The following is a 20,783-nucleotide window of genomic DNA, read 5'->3' as shown; positions in this document are numbered from 1 at the left end:
GAACAAGGTAGGATATGCCACTTATGGGCAAATACAAAGAAATTGCTAAATCATGAGATTGGTTTTCTTTTGGGAGATCATGGGTTTAGTTTAAGGTTGTGAGAATCGAGAGAAAAAAAAACATTCTTCTGGTTAAAAATCTCCTTCCAAAGGCAGCAAGAATTTACTGAAGCGTTTGAAGTGGGGCAATAACTCACCTAAAGTTATATTTTCATGAGACTAAACCAAAGACTGCTGAATAGACTGAACAGACAAAAAAGTGGAGGTAGAAAGAGTAGTTGTGGACACACAGGCACTTGAAAAATCTTCCTGCTACTTAGAAGGGTTTCCAAGTAAGAGTACTCAGAAGTTAATAAATCTAACTACTCAGAGACAACACCACCTCTCTCTTTTGTCTGCATTTTCAGGCAGCCTATTCATAGGGCTATAACCACTTCCAGGGCTATTGAGAAAAATGTATATGGGTGGTTACTGTGGTTCAAATGTGTTCCCCAAAAAGCATGGGTTGGAAACTTAAACCCCGTGCAACAGTATTGACAAGTGGAACCTTTAAGAGGTCTCTGCCCTTGTGAATGGATTAATGTGGTTATTGGATGAGTGATTTTGTTATCATGAGAGTGGGTTTGTTATAAAAGTGGGTTTGGCCCCCTCTTGCTCTGTCATGCTCTCTTGCCATTCCAACTTCCACCATGGGATAGTGTGGCACAAAGGCCCTCAGCAGATGTGGTCTCCCAATCTTGGACTTCCCAGCCTACAGAACCATAAGCCAAATACATTTATTTTCTTTATAAATTACCCAATCTGTGTTATTCTGCTACAGCAGCACGAAACAGACTAAGACAGGAAATTGGTACTGAGAATGGGGACTGACCATAACAAACACCCGAAAATGAAGCAGCTTTGAAACTAGGTAATGGGTGGAGGCTGAAAGAATTTGGAGGGGCAAGCTAGAAAAAGCCTAGATTGCCGTAAGTGGAGCATTCAAAGCAATGCTGGTGAGGGCTCAGAAAAAGACAAGTGCCGTATGGAGAGCATAAATCTTCTCAGGGATTCCTTAAGTGCCATGACCAGAATGTGGTAGAAATATGAATGGTAAAGGCCATTCTGATGAGGTTTCAAACAGAAATGAGGAACAAGGTATTAAAAACTGGAGTAAATGTCATCCTTGTTATAAAGTTGCAAAGAACTTTTCAATTTATGTCCATGTCTTAAGACTTTGTGGAAGGCAGAATTTAATAGCAATGAACTAGGATATCTGTCAAAAGAAATATCTAAGCAGCATAATATTCAAAGTGCTGCATAATATTCAAGCAGCATAATATTCCTTTGGCCACTTATAATAAAATGAGAGAAGGCAATTTTTAAATGAAATTTATAATTAAAAGGAACATACAACATAAAGGTTTGGGAAACTCTCAGCCCAGCCATGTAAAGAAGAGAAAAGCTGTCCAGGAAAGAATACTAAAGGTGTGGCCAATCAACTGTTTGCTAAGAGATTAATACGGATAGAAGGAAGCCAGAGTCTATTCATCAAGATGATGGGAGAATGACCCTGATGGCACTTTGGAGATTACTGTTGTCACCTTCTTTCATCACAGGTCCAGAGTGCCAAGTCCTGGGAGAAGGAAATATGTCAAAAGAAAGGACCAGGGCATCCTTGGGAACTTGGGGCTAGTTTCCCAGTGTTGTCCTCAAGTCTTTGCTCTCCATATTCTATGGCAGCACTCCTTAGTTATACCAGGTATGGCTCAAGGGACTCAAGTGTGGCTCAGGCCAAAACTTCAGGAGGTATGTAAACTAAAAATAAAATTCTAAGCCCCCCAACTGATGGAACAGACCATCTCTTGGCAAAGGGGACCCCAAAGTAACCTTGAAAACTGAATTATTGGCCACGATAGGAGGGAGGCTCAGACACACCTCTTGTAACACCCACTCCCTCGCTAACCACAATGAGGTTTTCTTTCCTCAAGGCTTTACAGCTCTTTCAAAAGACTCCACCACTGATATCAACCAACTACCTGATGCTGCCCCTCCTTTTTTGCCTAAGAGACCACCAACCACGGAGTGGTTCTGACCAGTCTACAGAGAATGCACAGTAAGGGTTTCTGTGCCCTCTGCTACGGCTTTTGAGGTCAGAGGGCCAAAAACTCCACCCTTGGATTATGCTAAGGCTGCCAGTTTTTGAACATGGGACCCTTGAAGGGACATGAAGCTCAACTGTGCATGCTCATGTTTCTCCTTTCATAAATATTCATAACTTCTCCTGTAGCTTATTGAATATATATATTCAGCCACCTCACTTAGCATACACTTTTGTTCTTTTTGTCCCTCTCTCAAAGTATCTGTTTTGGGCTTCTGGCAGGTGGCTTCCCTTTCCAGTCTGTCAGAATGGCCACTCTGCTGGCTGCAACCCTTTATGAGAAATAAAGTTCTTCATTTCAAATTTATGAACCTCATCATTCTACAGTTGACAGGTGCAGGCAGCAAATCTTGGCAGCATCCACATGGTGTTAATTCTGCAGGTGTGCAGAATGCAGAAGCTGTGGGGCCACAGCAGCATCCACCTACATTTCAAAGGACACGTGGGACAGCCTGGGGACCAACACAGAGACTTGTCACAGGAATGGAGCCACCAAAGAGAGCCTCCACTAGGGTAATTCCGAGTAGAGTCATGACAGTGAGGCAACGCCTGAGACCCCAGAACTGTAGGGCCACCAGCTTGCAACTCAAGCTGCAGGCACAAGCCTCCAACCTGTCAGAGCTACTGGGTTGAGTGAGCCCAACAAAGATATAGGGCAGGGCTTCCTGAGACCTTGGAGGTCCAACCCCCACCCCAGTGTGCCAAAGGTGTGGGACATGGAATCAAAGGAGATTATCCTCTGGCTTTAAGACTAAATGTTATTTTTCCTGTTGGGTTTTAGACTTACTCAGGAGCAGGTACCCCTTTTTTTCTTGCCTTCTTTTCCCTCTTGGAAAGGGAATGTCTATCCTATACCTGTCCCATCATTATATTTTGGAAGTACATATTCTTTTGATTTCACATGCTCACAACTGGAAGGAACTTGCCTCAGGGTGAATCATGCCTTGAATCTTCCCCATTTCTGATTTATATGACAGTTTGTACTTTGAACTTTTGAGTTGATGCTGGAATGAGTTAAGACTTTCAAGACTATTGGGATAAAATGGATGTATTTTACATTGTGAGAAGAACAGGAATTTGGGGGGTCCAGAGGCAGAATGCTATGGTTTGAATGTGTCCTCCAGAAAAGCACCTGTTGGAAACTTAATCCCCAATGCAACAGTATTGAGAGGTGGGCCTTTAAGAGGTGATTAGGTCATGAGGACTCTGCCCTCATGAATGGATTAATGTCATTATCATGGGTGTGGGTTTATTATCATGAGAGGGTTTGTTATAAAAGGACGTTTGGCCCCCTCTTCCTCTCTCATGCTCTCTTGCCCTTCTGCCATGAGATGATGCAGCCCCACCAGCTAGAACTTCTCAGCCTCCAGAACCATGAACCAAATAAATTTATTTTCTTTATAAATTACCCCATCTGTGTTACTCCATTAGAGCAGCACAAAACAGACTAAGACAAAAACAAGTTAGCCAGATGTGATAATAGGTGCCTGCAGTCCCAACTACTTGGGAGGCTGAGGTGGGAGGATCTCTTGAGCCCAGGAGTTTGAAGCTGCAGTAAGCTGTGATTGCACCACTGCACTCCAGCCTGGAAGCAAGAGCAAGACCCTGTCTCTAAAAAAATAAATAAATAGACTAAGGGAATGGTAGTAGGAGAGAAGGATGGGAACCTTTTCTGTACCTCAATGATATGTTTTACTAAGTATTGTGAACTTCAAGCCAGTAAGTGGATTTTTAAGTGGGGAAGGGATGTGAGGCAAATTGTTTTTTTAAGATCTTCTGGCAGAAGGTGAAGGATGGACTAGAAGAGGAGAAAGATCAAAGTCAGGGAAACCAAGTAAGAGACCACTGCTATCCTTCAGGCAAAGGACACTGAGAGGCTGAGTGAAAGCAATGTCATACAGAGGGGAAAGATAAATTCAAGAGATATTAGGAGACAAAATGGACAGGCCTTGGTGCTGAACTAGAAGTAGTGGGAAATAAGAACTAGGCAGAATTAATGTGACTCCTTGGTTCCTAGCATGGGAAACTAGGTGGATGGTGCCATTGACCAAGGAGAAGCATATGAGAAGAAGAAAAAAATGAAATGTGATGACTTGTGTCTAGGAAGGGTTGAAAACACAGTTCTGGAGCTTCAGAAAGAGAAGTCTGGGCTGGAAAGAAAGATTTTTGATCTGACATAGTAGTTAAGGCCATTGGGAATCAATGAGTTAATCAAGGGAGTTGCTACTTGCAAGGCCAAAATTACTTATTTTCGAACAGAAACTTGGAGAACTCCAAGAGAAAACTAGAGGAAGAGGAGCTCATAAAAGACATCAAGAAAGAATAGTCCAAGAAACAACAATCAGAGCTGACATTTTTGAGCACTCTATTATACTAGGCAATGTTCTGAGTGCTTCTTAGTTTATTTAATCTTTACAACCATATATTATACCTACTATTATTATCCCCATTTTACATATAAGGAAAGTGAGGCACAGGGAGGTTGAGCACCTTGCCCAAGGTCACACAACAAGAAAGTGACAGAACCAGGATTCAAACCTAGACAAGATTCGAATCCAGATCCCTCACTCCCAATCACCCAACTCCATTGCTATGTTAGAAATGTAGAAGGGGTGTATATGACAAAATCCAAGAAAGGAGACAGTTTCAATAAATAGATGGACAAGAAGGCAAATGTCTTAGGGTAAATGAAGCAAACAAACAAAAGAACTGAAAAGAACCCACTGGTTCCATGATTTGACAGGTTGTTGGCCCCTTGGCCACAGCTGTGTTGGTAGAAAAAGTAGCATGACCTAGGCAGGTGGAGCAGTAAGGAGGGAAATGTGGGGATGACCGAGTTAAACATTAAGTGCTGTGAGAGTTCAGGAAAAGACAGGGCTTTCTGGCTGAAGTCATCAGAAAAGCCTGCACTGGGAAAAGGACTCATGAGTGGTGTTTTAAGAAAGGAGAAACAATGTGAGAACTGAAGATCAAATGGTTTCACTGGTGAAAGGTGAGTCAAAAAATTGCTATTGTGATTGAAATCCACCTCTACCCTAGGGCTCCTGTAACTTGCACAAACGTAACTACATATGCTGAGAACAAGAACTACAAATTTCTCTCACATACAAAACAGACTTGTGAAAGTCAGCATTTAAAATCCAAAGTTAAAACAAAAAAGAACTTTCCTACAACACTCCAATGAGTTACAAAGAAATCTTCAACTAACAAATATTTATTTTTAAAAATCGTCCTGAATATTACAAAGGGCATGAAGAAATACAAGGTCCTGCCCTTGAAAAGTTTACAGACAGCCAAGTCCAAACACATGAACTGTTTGCCAACAATTGAGAGCTAAACAAATAGTTTAATAGTAATGCACAATGCTCGGAGCTTACAGAGGACTGTGGTGAGGCCAAGAAAGACAAGGACTGAAAAGGGCCATAGTCTTTGTAAACCAGAAAGCTGCTAGTTACCAGTTCAAGTGCAATGGATATAAAATGAAGGGAGCTTTTGCTTTATGTTGGTCTTTAAGTTAGTGGAGACCTGTGCCTGCTTGCAAGGACAGAGGAAAGAAACGAGGGCACACCAGTCCTGGAGAGAGCAGATCCAGCACTCGGTGCCTAGTGCCCACAGATATTAAATGTCCTGTAACAGGAACAGTCCTGCACACTGAAGAAGTGTTCCACATCCTTCTTTGAAAATTGGTCAGATTTTGGCTGGGCAAGGTAGCTCATGCTTGTAATCCCAGCACTTTGGGAGGCCGAGGTGGGCGGATCATCTGAGATCAGGAGTTCGAGACCAGCCTGGCCAACACGGCAAAACCTTGTCTGTACAAAAATTACAAAAATTAGCCAGGTGTGGTGGTGTGCACCTGTAATCCCAGCTACTTGGGAAGCTGAGGCAGGGTAATCGCTTGAACCTGGGAGGCGGAGGTTGCAGTTAACCGAGATTGGGCCATTGCACTCCAGCCTGGGCAGCAGAGTGAGATCTTGTCTCAAAATAATAACAATTTTTTAAAAAAGAAATTTAGCCAGATTTTAATTTTGCTTCAGTTACTTAGCTGTACCTTTTCCTTAAAGCAAAGAGAAAAGGTTAGCTCCCTCCAAAACTTCTCCAGAAAGAGTATTCCTCACAGGCAGGTTCCTACATTCTAGGAAAGTCATACCAGTTAACTACATAATAAAATCCTTAGTGTAATCCCCTAGGAAAGTAGTATATAAATTTCTGTCTTAAAAGATACCTACCAGATAAAATCCTGAATACTTTAGCTTACATTATAATTTAATTGATAACTCATACTTTATATTAAAATCCATGTTAAGTAAGGTATGAAGACATATTAGTTGTATTCTAATATTTCAAATATTTTGTGAAGAAAATTAAAAATGTATAATCTGCATAGATTCCATTGCAGCACATGGTTTTATTTTGTGATATATAAGTTCCTTATTGATATTTCACACCAAGAGAAACCAAAGAATAAGGTTTTCTCTTTCCAGGCAATCTTCACTTGGACAAGTGTGTAACTCTTAATATTGGATGTGCTCCAAAAAATGCCATGCTTGCTGTGAGGCAGAAAGAACTTGGGCTTTTTCCTTCTCCACAGTATTAACTTATCCTCAAATCCTCAGAAAACTAAAAGTCCCCTTCTCAGATCATATTTCCTATGGCTCTCCCATATCAATGTGTTTCCTAAAGCAACACTAAGCTCAATATTTTGGCCAATGCACTATTATAAAGACACTAGAAACTAAATGCTAAGTTTTACAGAATGTAAGTCAGTAAACGCCAAATGAAAGCAGATCTTCACATGTCATGAACTGAACTACTCTCTACCTGTTCTGGAAAAGAAATGTAATCCAAGAAACTAACATTAGCAGCAACAGGATACGCAAGCTTGTGCATACCAAATACAGGCATGTCTTGTTGTGCTTCAAGTTACTGCATTTTGCTTTTTTGTGTTCTGTGCAGATATTGTGTTTCTTACAAACTGAAAGTTTGTGGCAATCCTGCATTGAGCAAGTCTATCCCCACTATTTTTGCAATAGCATGTGCTCGCTTCGTGTCTCTGTGTCACATTTTGAAAATTCTCACAATGTTTCAAACTTTTTCACTATTATTATATCTGGCATGGTGATCTATGACCAGTAATCTTTGATGTTATTGTCATTGTTTTGGGGTGTCATAAACTGTACCCACAAAATATGGTGAATTGAATAAATGTTATGTGTGTTCTGTCTGCTCCACCATCTGGCCATTCCCTCTTCTCTGCCTCTCTCCTTGGGCCTTTCCTATTCCCTGAGACACAATATTGAAATTAGGCCAATTAATAACCCTACAATGGCCTCTAAGTGTTCAGGTGAAAGGAAGAGTTGCATGTCTCTCACTTCAAATCAAAAGCAAGAAATTATTGAGCTTAGTGAGAAAGGCACATCAAAAGCCAAGATAGCTGAAAGCAGGCCTCTTGTGCCAAACAGTCAAGGTGTGAATGTGAAGGAAAAGTTATTGAAAGAAATTAAAAGTACTTCTCCAGGAACACACGAATGATAAGAAAGTGAAACAGCCTTATTGCTGATACGGAGAAAGTTTGAGTGGTGTGGATAGAAGATCAAACTAGATACAACATTCCCTTAAGCTAAAGCCTAATCCAGAGCAAAGCCCTAACTCTTCCATTGTATGAAGGCTAAGAGAGGTAAAGAAGCTGCAAAAGAAAAGTTGGAAACTATCAGAGGTTGGTTCATGAGGTTTAAGAAGCCATCTCCAGAACATCAAAGTGCAAGGGAAGCAAGTTCTGATGTAGACTCTGCAGCAAGTTATCCAGCCAATCTGGCTAAGATCATTGATGAAGGTGGCTACAGTAAACAACAGATTTTCAGTGTGGACAAAACAACCTTTTTTTGGAAAAAGATGTAATCTAGGACTTTCATAGGTAAGGAGGAGGTGTCAATGCCTAGCTTAAAAGCTTCAAAGGACAGGCTGACTCTCTCATTAGGAACTAATACAGCTGGTGACTTGAAGTTGAAGCCGATGCTCATTTACCATTCCAAAAGTCCTAGGGCCCTTAGGAAGTATGCTAAATCTACTCTGCTTGTGCTCTATAAACAGAACAACAAAGCCTGGATGACAGTACATCTTCCTACAGCATGGTTTACTGAATATCTTAAGGCCATTATTGAGACCTACTGCTCAGAAAACAGATTTCTTTCAAAATATTACTGCTCACTGACAATGTACCTGGTAACCCAAGAGCTCTGATGGAGATGTACAAGGAGATTAATGTTGTTTTTATGCCTGTCAACATAATATTAATTCTGCAGCCCAAGGATCAACGAGTAATTTTGACTTTCAAGTCTTATTATTTAAGAAATGCATTTTGTAAGTACAGTTGCCATAAATAATGATTAATCTGATGGATCTGAGCAAAGTAAACTGAAAATCCTCTGGAAAGAATTCACCATTCTAGATGTCATTAAGGACATTTGTGATTCATGGGAGGTCAAGATAGCAACATTAACAGGAATTTGAAAGAAGTTGATTCCAACCCTCGTGGATGACGTGGATGAGGGTTTGAGGGGTCCAAGGCTTCAGTGAAGGAAATAACTACTGATATGATGGAAACAGCAAGAGAATTAGAATTGGAAGTGGAGCGATAAGATGGGACTGAACTGCTGCAATCTCATGATCAAACTTGAGTGGATGAAGAGTTGCTTATTATGGATGAGCAAAGAAAGTGGTTTCTTGATATGGAAACTACTCCTAGTGAAGATGCTGTGAACGTTGTTGAAAAGACAACAAAAAATTTAGAATATTACATAAACTTAGTTTATAAGGCATAGGCAAAGTTAAGAGGATTGACTCCAGATTTGAAAGAAGTATTACCATGAATAAAATGCTATTTCAAACAGCATCACATGCTACAGAGAAATCTTTCATGAAAGGAAGAGTCAATCAATGCAGCAAACTTCATGACTGTCTTATTTTAAAGAGCCACCCCAACCTTCAGCAACCACCAAACTGATCAGTCAGCAGCCATCAACATCAAGGCAAGACTCTCTACCAGAAAAAAAAAAATTGACTTACTAAAGGCTCAGATGATCCTTAGCATTTTTTGGCAATAAAGTATTTTTAATTAGGTATTTACATTTTTTAGACATAGTGCTATTGTATTCCTAATAGACTACAGTATAATTTAAACATAAATTTTATATGCACTGGAAAACCAAAAACCTCATGTGACTCATTTTATTGCAATATTTCCTTTATTGTGGTGATGTGGAACTGAAATTGTAATATCTTCAAGATATGCCTGTATAAGGTCATTACTTAATCAGTACTTTTTCATCACATTAATAGGACTAACTTTTAGTTCATCTTAACCCCACTACCAACATACACATGTACATGCACTCACAAACACATAACAAACTTTTTTTTTTTTTTTGAGACGGAGTCTTGCTCTGTCACCCAGGCTGGAGTGCAGTGGCCGATCTCGGCTCACTGCAACCTCCACCTCCTGGGTTCACACCATTCTCCTGCCTCAGCCTCCCAAGTAGCTGGGGCTACAGGTGCCCGCCACCATGCCCAGCTAATTTTTTGTATTTTTAGTAGAGACGGGGTTTCACCGTGTTAGCCAGGATGGTCTTGATCTCCTGACCTCGTGATCTGTCTGCCTCGGCCTCCCAAAGTGACATAACAAACTTTTACCTATCTTGTTCACTAGTGCTTTAAGTTCATATTCTGTACTACGTGATAGTTAATTAACTCAGTGATATAACCCAAGTTAATATGACAGTGAGTAGTAATGAGTTTAAAATCTTGATCTTTCCTACCAGCAGCCTATACCTTGATTCAGAACACTGACTCAAAGATGGGAACACAGAAGGCAGTCAGTATACAGAGTTTGGGGCAAGCAGGCCTATTAGCCAAGTTACAAGAAATATACAGTCCCCTGCCTGTGAGTGTGGTGTGTGTGTGTGTGTGTGTGTGTGTGTGTGTGTGTGTGTGTGTACCTGCATGCATCACAGACCTGTCTAGGTATGTGGTCTATACATTTATATTACACATTTGTGAAGAAAAACTCATTTCAGATGAGAATGTACAGAGCACCTAGTAAAACACAGATACTATGCAAAATTCCCCAGATGTGGAATGTGCCTAGCAAAACTCAATTATAATCAGTGATTTATTGCTAGATAGTCTATAATACCAATGCTAGACTAAATCCACTGTACAATTCTCTGTCATGAGCTCACACCAGGTTATGTTCTGCCAATTCAGTTACACCTAACTGCAATATTTTTTTTAAAAGAACCACAGTGGTGCTTTCAGTTTTCCTCCATCCTTAAGATCCCACCTCACTCTGAACAGAAGATATCACTCTCTACTTTGAAATCAACATTTTTCATCAACTGGTCACAGGTTAGGCCTTTGAAACTCTTCCTTTCTGGCTCTGCATCTATTCCCTCCATCCATCTCTTCTCCTTCCTCTTGTGGCCGAATCCCATTCATTCCTAATAGCTGAGGGACTGTGTGCCTACAATAGTCCCTTCTTCTCTGGTGTGTTCAAATCCTCCCTTTTCAGTGTTACCCTCCCCTTCTACCCTGTGCTTGGCACTGGAAATTCTAAGGTGAGTAAGACAGGTCTCTGCCATCAGGAATTCTTAGTCTATCAGAAGAAGCACAGGGCGAAACAGCCAATGCCAGGTAATGAACATTAGAGTAAAGAGAAGAAATGGGGTGACAGGAGAGGGACTAATCCTGCCAGGAGTGGGCAGGGTGAGCTTGCAGAAGGACTTGATAAAGATTTGTTAATTGAGTTTTTTTTTTTTTTAAAAAAAGGACTTCCTTTCTACCCAAATAATGGATTGAATAACATGAGAACCTTATTGCTTGAAGCATTGGATGGACTCTGTTTCAGAATTACTTAAATGCATAGTTGCGCTCTCCCAAGAAAGCAAGGGAGCACTCCCAAAGTCATAAAATAAAGACTCATTGAAAAACAGAGTGATGTCCTACGAAGAATCTTTGCCTGAAGTGTTTTAATGGTCTCAGCAGCCCAGAAGATTGGGTTTAATGGCTACTGAGGGAAGGGGAGACATCTTGCCCATGTGTGGTAAGGAGTTAGAACTAAATAAGGCAGTACCCCCAAAGGGCCATGTCTTTATTCAAATAATGATAATAGAAAAATATGACCAGTAGCCAAAGGAAAAAACAAGAAATGTTTCTGGTCTCAGCCTAAGTCTTTGATGAGTGAGGAAAGAAGGGTTCCCTGGAGCCCTTTAACTGAAAAATTAACATATAAAATGGTTCCATACTGGTAATGCATTTGGGGTTAACTCACAATTACAGGACTCCCCCAGTTAAAGTTTCATTGGACATAGGCTCACCATTCAATATTATGAAACACTTGACAAAACTATCCATCATGAAAAAGACAGTACAAACAACAGGCCCTTTAGAACTTCAAATGATAGACTGATCGAATATTTTGTAAAATAACTATGTTTAAATAAAGATGTTAAAAAATAACTCAAAGCATCAGAAAGGAACAGGCCAACTTGACAAAGAACCAGACAGAACTCCTAAAAATAAAAGTATCGTGTATGAAATTTCACTGGACAAGTTAAAAAGCAAAGAAGAAAAGTGAAAATGTCAGTAATATATTGGAATTTGAATCTTGGAAATTACCCAGAATATAGCACAGAGCTAGAGAAGGTGAAAAATGGGAAAGAGATGCTAAGAAATATGAAACATGCAATTGAAGAGTCCAACATTCTTTTTTTTTTTTTTTTTTTTTTGGGACGGAGTCTTGCTCTGTCACCCAGGCTAGAGAGCAGTGGCGCAATCTCGGCTCACTGCAAACTCTGCCTCCCAGGTTCTCCCCTTTCTCCTGCCTCAGACTCCCAAGTAGCTGGGACTACACGTGCCCGCCACCATGCCTGGCTAATTTTTTATATATTTTTTAGTAGAGACAGGATTTCACCATGTTAGCCAGGATGGTCTCCATCTCCTGACCTCGTGATCCACCCACCTCGGCCTCCCAAAGTGCTAAGATTACAGGCATGAGCCACCGCGCCCAGCCTCCAACATTCTTTTTATAGGAGCAGCAAGAAGGCCAGTATGTCTGCAGCAGAGTGAAGTGGAGAGTAATAGAAGATGAAGACACAGAGGAAAATGAAGGATCTATTATGCAAGGCCTTGTAGGTCCTCCTAAGGACGTTGACTTTTCTTCTGAGTATGCAGAGGATCCATTTGAGGGTTCTGAGCTGAGTGACATAATCTGACAGACACACAAACAGGATCATTCTGACAATAGTCACAGGCAGACTAAGAGGGATCAAGGGTAGATGCAGGAGGATGTGCTTAGATGCAGTTGCCATAATCTAGGGAAGAGATGATGGTGTCTGAGATTTGAGGGTAGCAAAGTGCTGGTGAGAAGTAACTGGCTATATTCTGAAGGGAGAGCCAATAGGATTTCCTGACAATTTGGCAGTGGGATATGAAAGAAAGAGAGACAAAAATCTCCCAAGTTTGACGTCTGAGAAAATAATGAAATTGCCACTAGCAGAGATAGGGAATGACACAGATGGTACAGATTTGGGAAAGGAAACCAGGAATTCTGTTTTGGATGGAAATCAGTAACTCAGTAAGTTTGAGGTGTCCACATGTGGCGAGCTGCCTCCTGGATACCAAGATATACAGATCTGGGCTTTATTCTGCCCACCAAATCCTTTACTGAGGTACTCTCTTGCCAAAGCACACGTAGGAACAAGAAAAGAGGTAAAAAGGAGGAAGATTAGAGACCATTCTCGCCCTTAAGGATGTTGAAATCTGAGAAGGGAAGAAGGGAGGCTTTTCGGCACCTATTGCAGAGCCTGAGCTGGAACAGCAGGTGCTGCCTTGCTCATCTGACACTTGGAAAGGTATCAGCAGCAAAACAAGATGGGGACATTCAAAAACTGGTTCTTAGAAACAAAAACATACTGCCATGTTGACCATCTGGTTCCTGGCTACAGCAGACAAAACACTTAGTGACAACATAAGAAAATGAAACCACATCAACCATTTTGTGAGAAAACCGCCCCCAAACTCTTCCCTTTTACAGTTCAGTTCTCCGGGTAGAATTTGGCCTTCAGGGCTATTTTCTTTGGAAATCATGATTATTTTCCAAAGAAAAACATGTTCAGGTTTTCTAATGGTCAAGGAAGAGGGCTAGACTAAGAACTGGGCGGCCCAAATTACCCCTGGCTCCCTGTGGACCAGCCCAACCCTGCTGTGCCTCGTGACTTGGTTTCTCAATGTGTAAATACTGCCACAGGGAAAAGAATATTTTCCACTGCCTACACACAGAACTTTGTTGAGGGTTAATGAATTAGTGTGTATAAAATACTATGAGCTACTCAAATAAAGGGACAATGAAATTCTATTCTTAGTGTTAAGGACAGAGCAATTTTAACCCTCTTCTTACAAACCCCACTGGAAATTAGACTAAGATACCAGGAGTTCTCTTGCATGGGCCTATGCAGATAAAAGGAGATAATGTGTTAAAGGTCTCTGTGAAGTACAGTTCCAATGTAAGGATATGTAGAAATAATTTCTCAAGATAAAACACAATATTAAACAGGTCAAAAATCATTAAAAACTACCAAGAAGCTGTCACTCTTGTAAGTCTCCACATAAAGGTTAAACATGTTGACCTGTGAACCATAGTTAGGCCAAACTCCTAGTTGTTGTGCAAGCTCAGAGCATGACAAACCCAAGGAGAAAATATGGACTTTTGTTCAAGAGCCATAGAATTGAGCACATTGTAAAAGCTGTCCATGAAAAGAGCTTTGTTGAAGGCGTTATTCCTCATTTTCTAAATGCTGTCCAGCTCCACTAAATGGTGACAATTAACATTGAAGTGAATAGGCCACTGTACAGATTCTATTCATAATCCAAATAGACAGTTTTCCTTGCCCAATGAGATTTTACATTAGTATTCAAACAACCTTTCATTTTGTCTAAATCCTGGCTCAGAACATGCCAAAGACCAGATGAATGCACCATCTGGAGGCAGAATCTCTCCCTGACAGAGCAAGGATGTGCTTAGATTACTGTGAACGTCAGGTTTTCACATGCCTTGACTTTTCATTTCAGAAAAAAAAGGAGTGGTAACTAGAAAATGATCAGACACACAAGGGGTAGAAACAAGCAATGAGCTAAACCTGACACCATGATGAATCTGTATCTGGATGAAAGAGATGACTGAGTTCATTCTGGCAGCATTTCACTGGGTGGGCCAGCATAATTATGCCACTGTGTTCACCTGAGGCAAGAAAAGTCTGATGACTTCCCCAAGGTCAATGAGTTCTAATCCCCATCTGCTAATGACTCATGGTGAATTCCAGATTTCTGGTTCCGTGTTTACTGCACACAGACACTAATCTCCTGACTGGTCCCCCCACTTTCAGACTTTCAGCCCCAGCTCTCTCCAGGCCATGAGGCCCACGACTAAAGATTCAGCTTCTAAAAATGCTGCTCTGGGTGCCTAGCCCACTCCCCTACTGCCAATCTCTCAGTGGCTCCTAGAGAGGAAAGGCCTCTCCCTGTACCTGCCATTTGAGGCTGGTGTTGAGAGCCCCTCGAGTGCCTCAGGCCATGCTTCCTTCCTGGTTTCTCCAGAGCAGACATTTATGGGGTTCTGGTTGTCTGGCATCCTTCCCTTTTTTCTGCTAGCACCTGGATCTCCCTTCTGGGGAAATCCCCCATTGTGAATAGCACTGACAGGAAGTAGGATCCCATTGTCCTTACAGAAGCCAATGGGATTTCATTGTCCCTCTCCCTGCCCCAGTGCAGCCAGGGGCTGGTACATGACTAGGATGCTTAAGCAGGGGTCCACTCTTAAGCAGATAATAACTTAAGCACCCTAACTTAAGGAGAGAAGTTAGGGTGATATTTAGACACCAAAAAGTCTATTTATGTTGTTTGCACCCAAAATGGCTGAAGCACTCTATGACTGAGGCCCCTTTCTTTCATACACCTTTTCTATGCAAACTCATTCTACCCAGGGTGGCCGATTGAGTATCCCTGCATACCACATATACACTTCCACCTCTGTGCTATCTTCCTGGAAAACACAGAGTAGAAGTGCCATGACGGGGGGGAACAGAGGGCAGGAATGCCAAACCTGGTCCAAGGGCTGGAAAGGAGCTGTAGGGGAAGCCCAGAGGAGACTGGATGTTGTGCTTAGTTTTGATGGATGAACACAGTTAGCTAGGCTAAAGGGAAGGACAGATAGGGGCTATAGAGAGGAGGCACATTTCAGCACCTTCCAGCACATGCATGGAGCACAGAGAACATGTGAAACTCTGTGCAGGAGTTGATATTCCTTCCATGTAGCTATGTGCAAGACACAAGGAGGCAGAAGCTGAGACGAGAGACATAAGCAAGGGTCTCCTCACTAGGCACCTTGCATGCTGCACTGAGGACAGGAATCTCCATCCCGAAGTTAAGAGAGCCTTAGAAGAAGCATAAGCATATATCCTCAAACTCCTACCAGAGATCAAACTTCTGCTTTTCCTAATTAGTTTCTTGAAATTACTAATATTCACTCAATATACTCGATATACAGACACCTCCATAAAATACGGTGTAATATTCAGCCAAGACACTTGCTTTGAACTCATTCCAAAATAATTTAATTTTGTATATGTAACCTGAAAATCAACCCCTCACATCGCTGAGCAAAGCAAGAAGTAGAAGTAGCTGCAGTGTGCCCAAGTGTCAGGTGTGGGAAGAACCAAGGCAAGAAACAGTCATGCACACTTGGAGCAGGGCCCCTCACTCTGCCTCTAACTGGATGTGTGGCGCTGGGCAAGTTGTTTAACCTCCTTAAGCCTCAGTTTCCTTATCTGTAAAATAGAGCTATTGACCAACAGCTACAAGACCATTAGGCTGATGATGCCAAATGTATGTAAAGTACCTGATACACATTAACTACACACTGACGGCATCTTTCTTTCCAAGAAGTAGTTCCCTTAACAATGGAAGATGTGTCCCTTGCACCCTGAGGCATCACTGAAAAACCAATGGTCCAGGAATGAGGAGATTTGGGTTCCTCCATCTGCCCGTTTTCTAACTGTGTGATACTGAGAGGTCACTCAACCACTTGAAAGCTCAGTTTCCCCATCTGTAAATTGGGGATAATAATCATTGGCCACTCCTGGACATACAAGGATTAAGTGAGATCTGTGGAAGCTTTAAAGGATTCCAGATGTATAACATATTATTACTGCCAAATATCTGTGTACTTATAAATGACCTTTTCGGAGCAATATTTCTGACACCACCTTTGAATTTCCAGTTCAACCACTTTCCTCATGTCACTCATAAACCTACAAAGACTCTTTATTTCTTATTATGCTTCTCAACTGTTTGGCTTCCAGCCCTCCTGAATGTGGCCCCACCCTGCCTAGCCCCTAATGCTATTTCCTTCTGCTCCCCCAAATGTGCATACCGTGCCCTCTCATGTCCCACACTCATTCCCACTCCTGCTCCTTTGCTCATGCTGGTGCTCCTGCCCAAAATCCCACAGACCCTCTCTCTCTATGAATAGCTAAATCCTAAAACCTGCCTCACTTCACTTCCTCCATGAAGCCCTCTCTGATGAGTCTATAGCAGTAAGAATTTTCTGCTAGTTCTAAACTCCTCATCAGACTTTTAGTTGCCATTATATGACTTGACTAACTTCTCTAATTATTTACTTTCCACTAGTGTGACCTTCTCAACTAGATAATAAGCTTCGTGAGGGAAGAGATCATATTGTCTTTTATATACCCCATTCCCTAGCACTTAAAAATAGTTACAACATAGAGAAGGAGAACATGGACTGGCAGTTCTCAAACCTCTTTGCAACCCCAAAACTTTTATCCTCAATTTATCTCCACAAACCTTTAACAAGCACTTACTCTGCACTTGAGGCCCAACGGAACCAAAATGAGGTAACTTCACAGGTCTCCGAAGCCTGAGAAACAAACAGGTCAATGACAAACAACAGAGCATGGTAGCTGGGCCTAGGATGGTTGTGGCATCAGATTCTGACTCAGACTTGCCATTGACAACCATAGTTAAAACAGAATTGCCTCTCCCCTTGCAAGAATTGAGCCATAAGTTCAGACAAAGATATACTTCACGAGTTATAAGAAAAATGTTGGAAATAGCCTAAAAGTCCCACAATGAGAATAATACAGAAACAGATAATTGTATATATAGTCACTGAATATGATCATTTTTAAAGGGCATTTAATAACATAAAAAAATTAGTAATGTAAAAAGTGAAAAATAAAAGATTTTCAGTGTATACACTAGATGATCTCAATTGTGTTCACAAGAAATAACAACAAGCTGTCATTGACTGCAGGTTTTCTACACACCAGGCCCTATATGTTAGCACTTCACAAAGTAAAAGCAACAAGAATAGCTTGGGAGACATATTAACATTCCCCACAATCTCTACCAGCTTTCCCTAAATAATCAATCTAAGTAAAACAACATGTTTGGTTTCAAAACAAGATCTTCTAATGCAATGATTTTCCCTCCATTATTGCTATCTGGAAAATCTGGAGTTGCTTCAACATAGTGTAAGTATTCTGCACAACAATCCATAAATAATGTTACTATTCCCACTTTATGAATGAGAAAACAGACTGGGGTCCAATGTCACCAGCTAAAACACAGTCGAGCTGGTAAGTAAGCCCAAGTCTATCTCACTCCAGAGCTCATGACCTGGACCACACCTCCAAGAGCATTTTCCATTCCCTTCTTCTTAGGCTCAACCAAACCCAGTGACTGTTAAAACCCCACATATGTAAACAGGTCAGAGCTGAGTTCTCACGAAATCTTACCCAGTTCAAGCCCCCATTCTAATTTTCCTAAATGTCTAAGAACTAATTGTAGCATTTGTCTTTTGAAAGTACTTTGGTCTCTCAGAGTTTCTACTATTAATTCCTCCAAGCACTAGTTGTTGGGACACGTTTACAAAAGCTTTTTCTTTGGATACATCAGAAGGTATTTATAACTTTGGGAGGCTGAGGTGGGTGGATCACTTGAGGCCAGGAGTTCAAGACCAGCCTGACAACATGACAAAACCCTGTCTCTACCAAAAATACAAAAAACGAGCTGGGCATGGTGGCACATGCCTGTGGTCCCAGCTACTTAGGAGGCTGAGGTGGGAGGATCGCTTGAACCCGGGAGGCAAAGGTTGCAGTGAGCCGAGATTGCACCACTGTACTCCAGCCTGGGCAACAGCCTGGGTGATAGGGTGAGACATTGTCAAAAAAAAAAATTAAGAAGAAGGAAGAAGAAGCCTATGTATACAGGTAATTTCCATCATTAGAAAACATCTCTCAGCTGGGCGCGGTGGCTCACACCTGTAATCCCAGCACTTTGTGAGGCCGAGGCTGGCAGATCACGAGATCAGGTGTTCAAGACCAGCCTGGCCAACACAGTGAAACCTCATCTTTACTAAAAATACAAAAATTAGCTGGGTGTGGTGGCATGCGCCTGTAGTCCCAGCTACTCAGGAGGCTGAAGAGGGAGAATCACTTGAACCCAAGAGGCGGAAGTTGCAGTGAGCTGAGACCATGCCATTGCACTCCAGCCTGGGTGACAGAATGAGACTCCGTCTAAAAAAAAAAAAAAAAAAAAAAAAAAGAAAGAAAGAAAACATCTCTCAGGTGATGAACGGGCCAGATTCCAATGCCTATAAGTGGATTACTTGCAGCTCTAAAACAAGCATACACACTACAGTAGACCAGCTTACATGAGCCACTTTAACTCATATCCTGTCCCATGAGTACTGTCCTAAGCAGCATGTTTAGCCGTGTTTCCCAGGAGAATCAGGGTTCCTGTTTAAGAATTCCAAGAACATACTTTCTCCTGACACAACCCTGGCAGTGGGATTACACTTCTCCCTCTCCCCACATACACAGAGCTATGGAAACCAGGACACCCAATCAGGTGAGAAAAAGGACTTGGGCACAGGTTGCCACAGTGTGGGAAGAGGGACTCTGAGGGTCTCCCCTTAATGGTCTGTCCCCACTTTATTGCAGAGGGACGAAGGGCTCGCCCACCAGCCTCCTTTCTTTGCCACCACTCACTGTGCCAGCCCGTCTTTTCTCTGGCTACTTGGGCAATGGAGGAACAGATTTCTGTCCCAGTTTCTCCATTACCCTGCTATTCCTCCTGAAGCAAGCACACACTCCCTTCTGATATTTTTTAGACTCTTTTCCCACTGGTAACAAGTGGCAACATACAACAGAAATAACAAATAAGGGTAAAACAGTATAACTAAATAAAATTAATATGGAACCAAAGAGTAGGTTCAAGTACACAGAACTCACTTTACTCACTAGGAGCATGCCCCTGGGCAAGTAATCTCATGTCTCTGAGCTCCAATTTCGTGATTGATAGAACAAGACAGTCAAACCACCTTATGGCTACAGCTTCTTCATCTTAAAAAGGGCCACAATGAAAGTTTTTCCAATACTCAGAATACAAATGAGTCTGATATTTCTGGCTCCTCCTTGCTCTACCAACAAGGCATGCTTTTTCCCAAAAAGCCTCATCCAAACCCTCCTAGACTCTTTCAATTCTGGATCAGGTGCTCCTTCCAGGGCTCCTGTCCCCCTTCCACTCCCCACCTCTTTCCTACTCACCCTCCACCACAAATAAATATATCAAAAGCCACATGAGTGACATTTAGGAGGCAGGACCATCTAATGTTCAAAAAGCCAAGATTTAGATTCAGATGTGCAGGTCAATCTGTTTAGCAACTCAGCTTATGACTCTAGGCAAGCTACTTAATCTGTCTTTATCTATACAATGGGGATCATACATAATAATGCCTATTTCATAAGACAGTTGTAAGGATAAATGAGTAACACACATAAAGACCTTAGCAAGAACCTGGCACATACACACATTATAACACCATTATCATGGTGATGGCAGTGACTGCTATAAATCTTATTTTCCTGAAAGATGGCACTGCCTGATTGAAGTGAGATTACTCCCCAGAGGTTGGCCAACCTAGGAAATTCATCCCGAGAACCATTCATGGAAAGGAGAAGTGAAGTTTCTGTTTGCAGGGAGAATGAGAGACAGGATGAGTGGTGTGGGAAGCTGTTAATGAAGAGGAGGAGGAAGAGGTGCAGTCCTATTCATTTATCCTTCCTCTTAGCCCTCACCTCACTGCTCTTCATTCTTGAGAGAAGGGCTGTGATATCTCAGGGGCCAGCCCAGGAAAGGTATTCCTGTAGCCACCTGACTGCAATGATGCAAGGCCAGGCATGTGAGAGACAGAAACAGCCTGTAACTTCTAGAATTTACCTTGTTTAGGGAACATTCAGCCCTCCATTTCATTTAATGAGAATCTGCATTCATGATTCATTTAATTCCAGAAATCATTGATAAGTTTTGCTGACTTGTTGACTTCTGGTAATACTGTTTCACATGTAAAATATTATCCTCTGCCTCTGTCTTCTGACATTAATAGATTTATAATAATATTTCCTAGAAATGGCATATTTCCCAAAGGACAGAACAGGAACTGACAGTATAAGGGTTCCACATAAACAACTCGATCTTGATCTTTTATAGTACAGAAACACCCTCCACAGAA

At 41.6% G+C, this 20,783-nt stretch overlaps 1 protein-coding gene across 4 annotated transcripts in view; it reads right to left on the bottom strand.

Annotated features, from left to right (window-relative positions):
- Nucleotides 1-20,783, bottom strand: part of ARHGEF28 (Rho guanine nucleotide exchange factor 28) — a 315,795-nt gene that overhangs the window by 272,899 nt on the left and 22,113 nt on the right. The gene's annotated exons all lie outside the window — the stretch shown is intronic.

Source organism: Homo sapiens, chromosome 5 (genome assembly GCF_000001405.40).
Source record: "Homo sapiens chromosome 5, GRCh38.p14 Primary Assembly".
NCBI lineage: Eukaryota > Metazoa > Chordata > Mammalia > Primates > Hominidae > Homo > Homo sapiens.
Note: the sequence above shows the minus strand (reverse complement) of the source record. Positions and strands in the feature narration are given on the sequence as shown.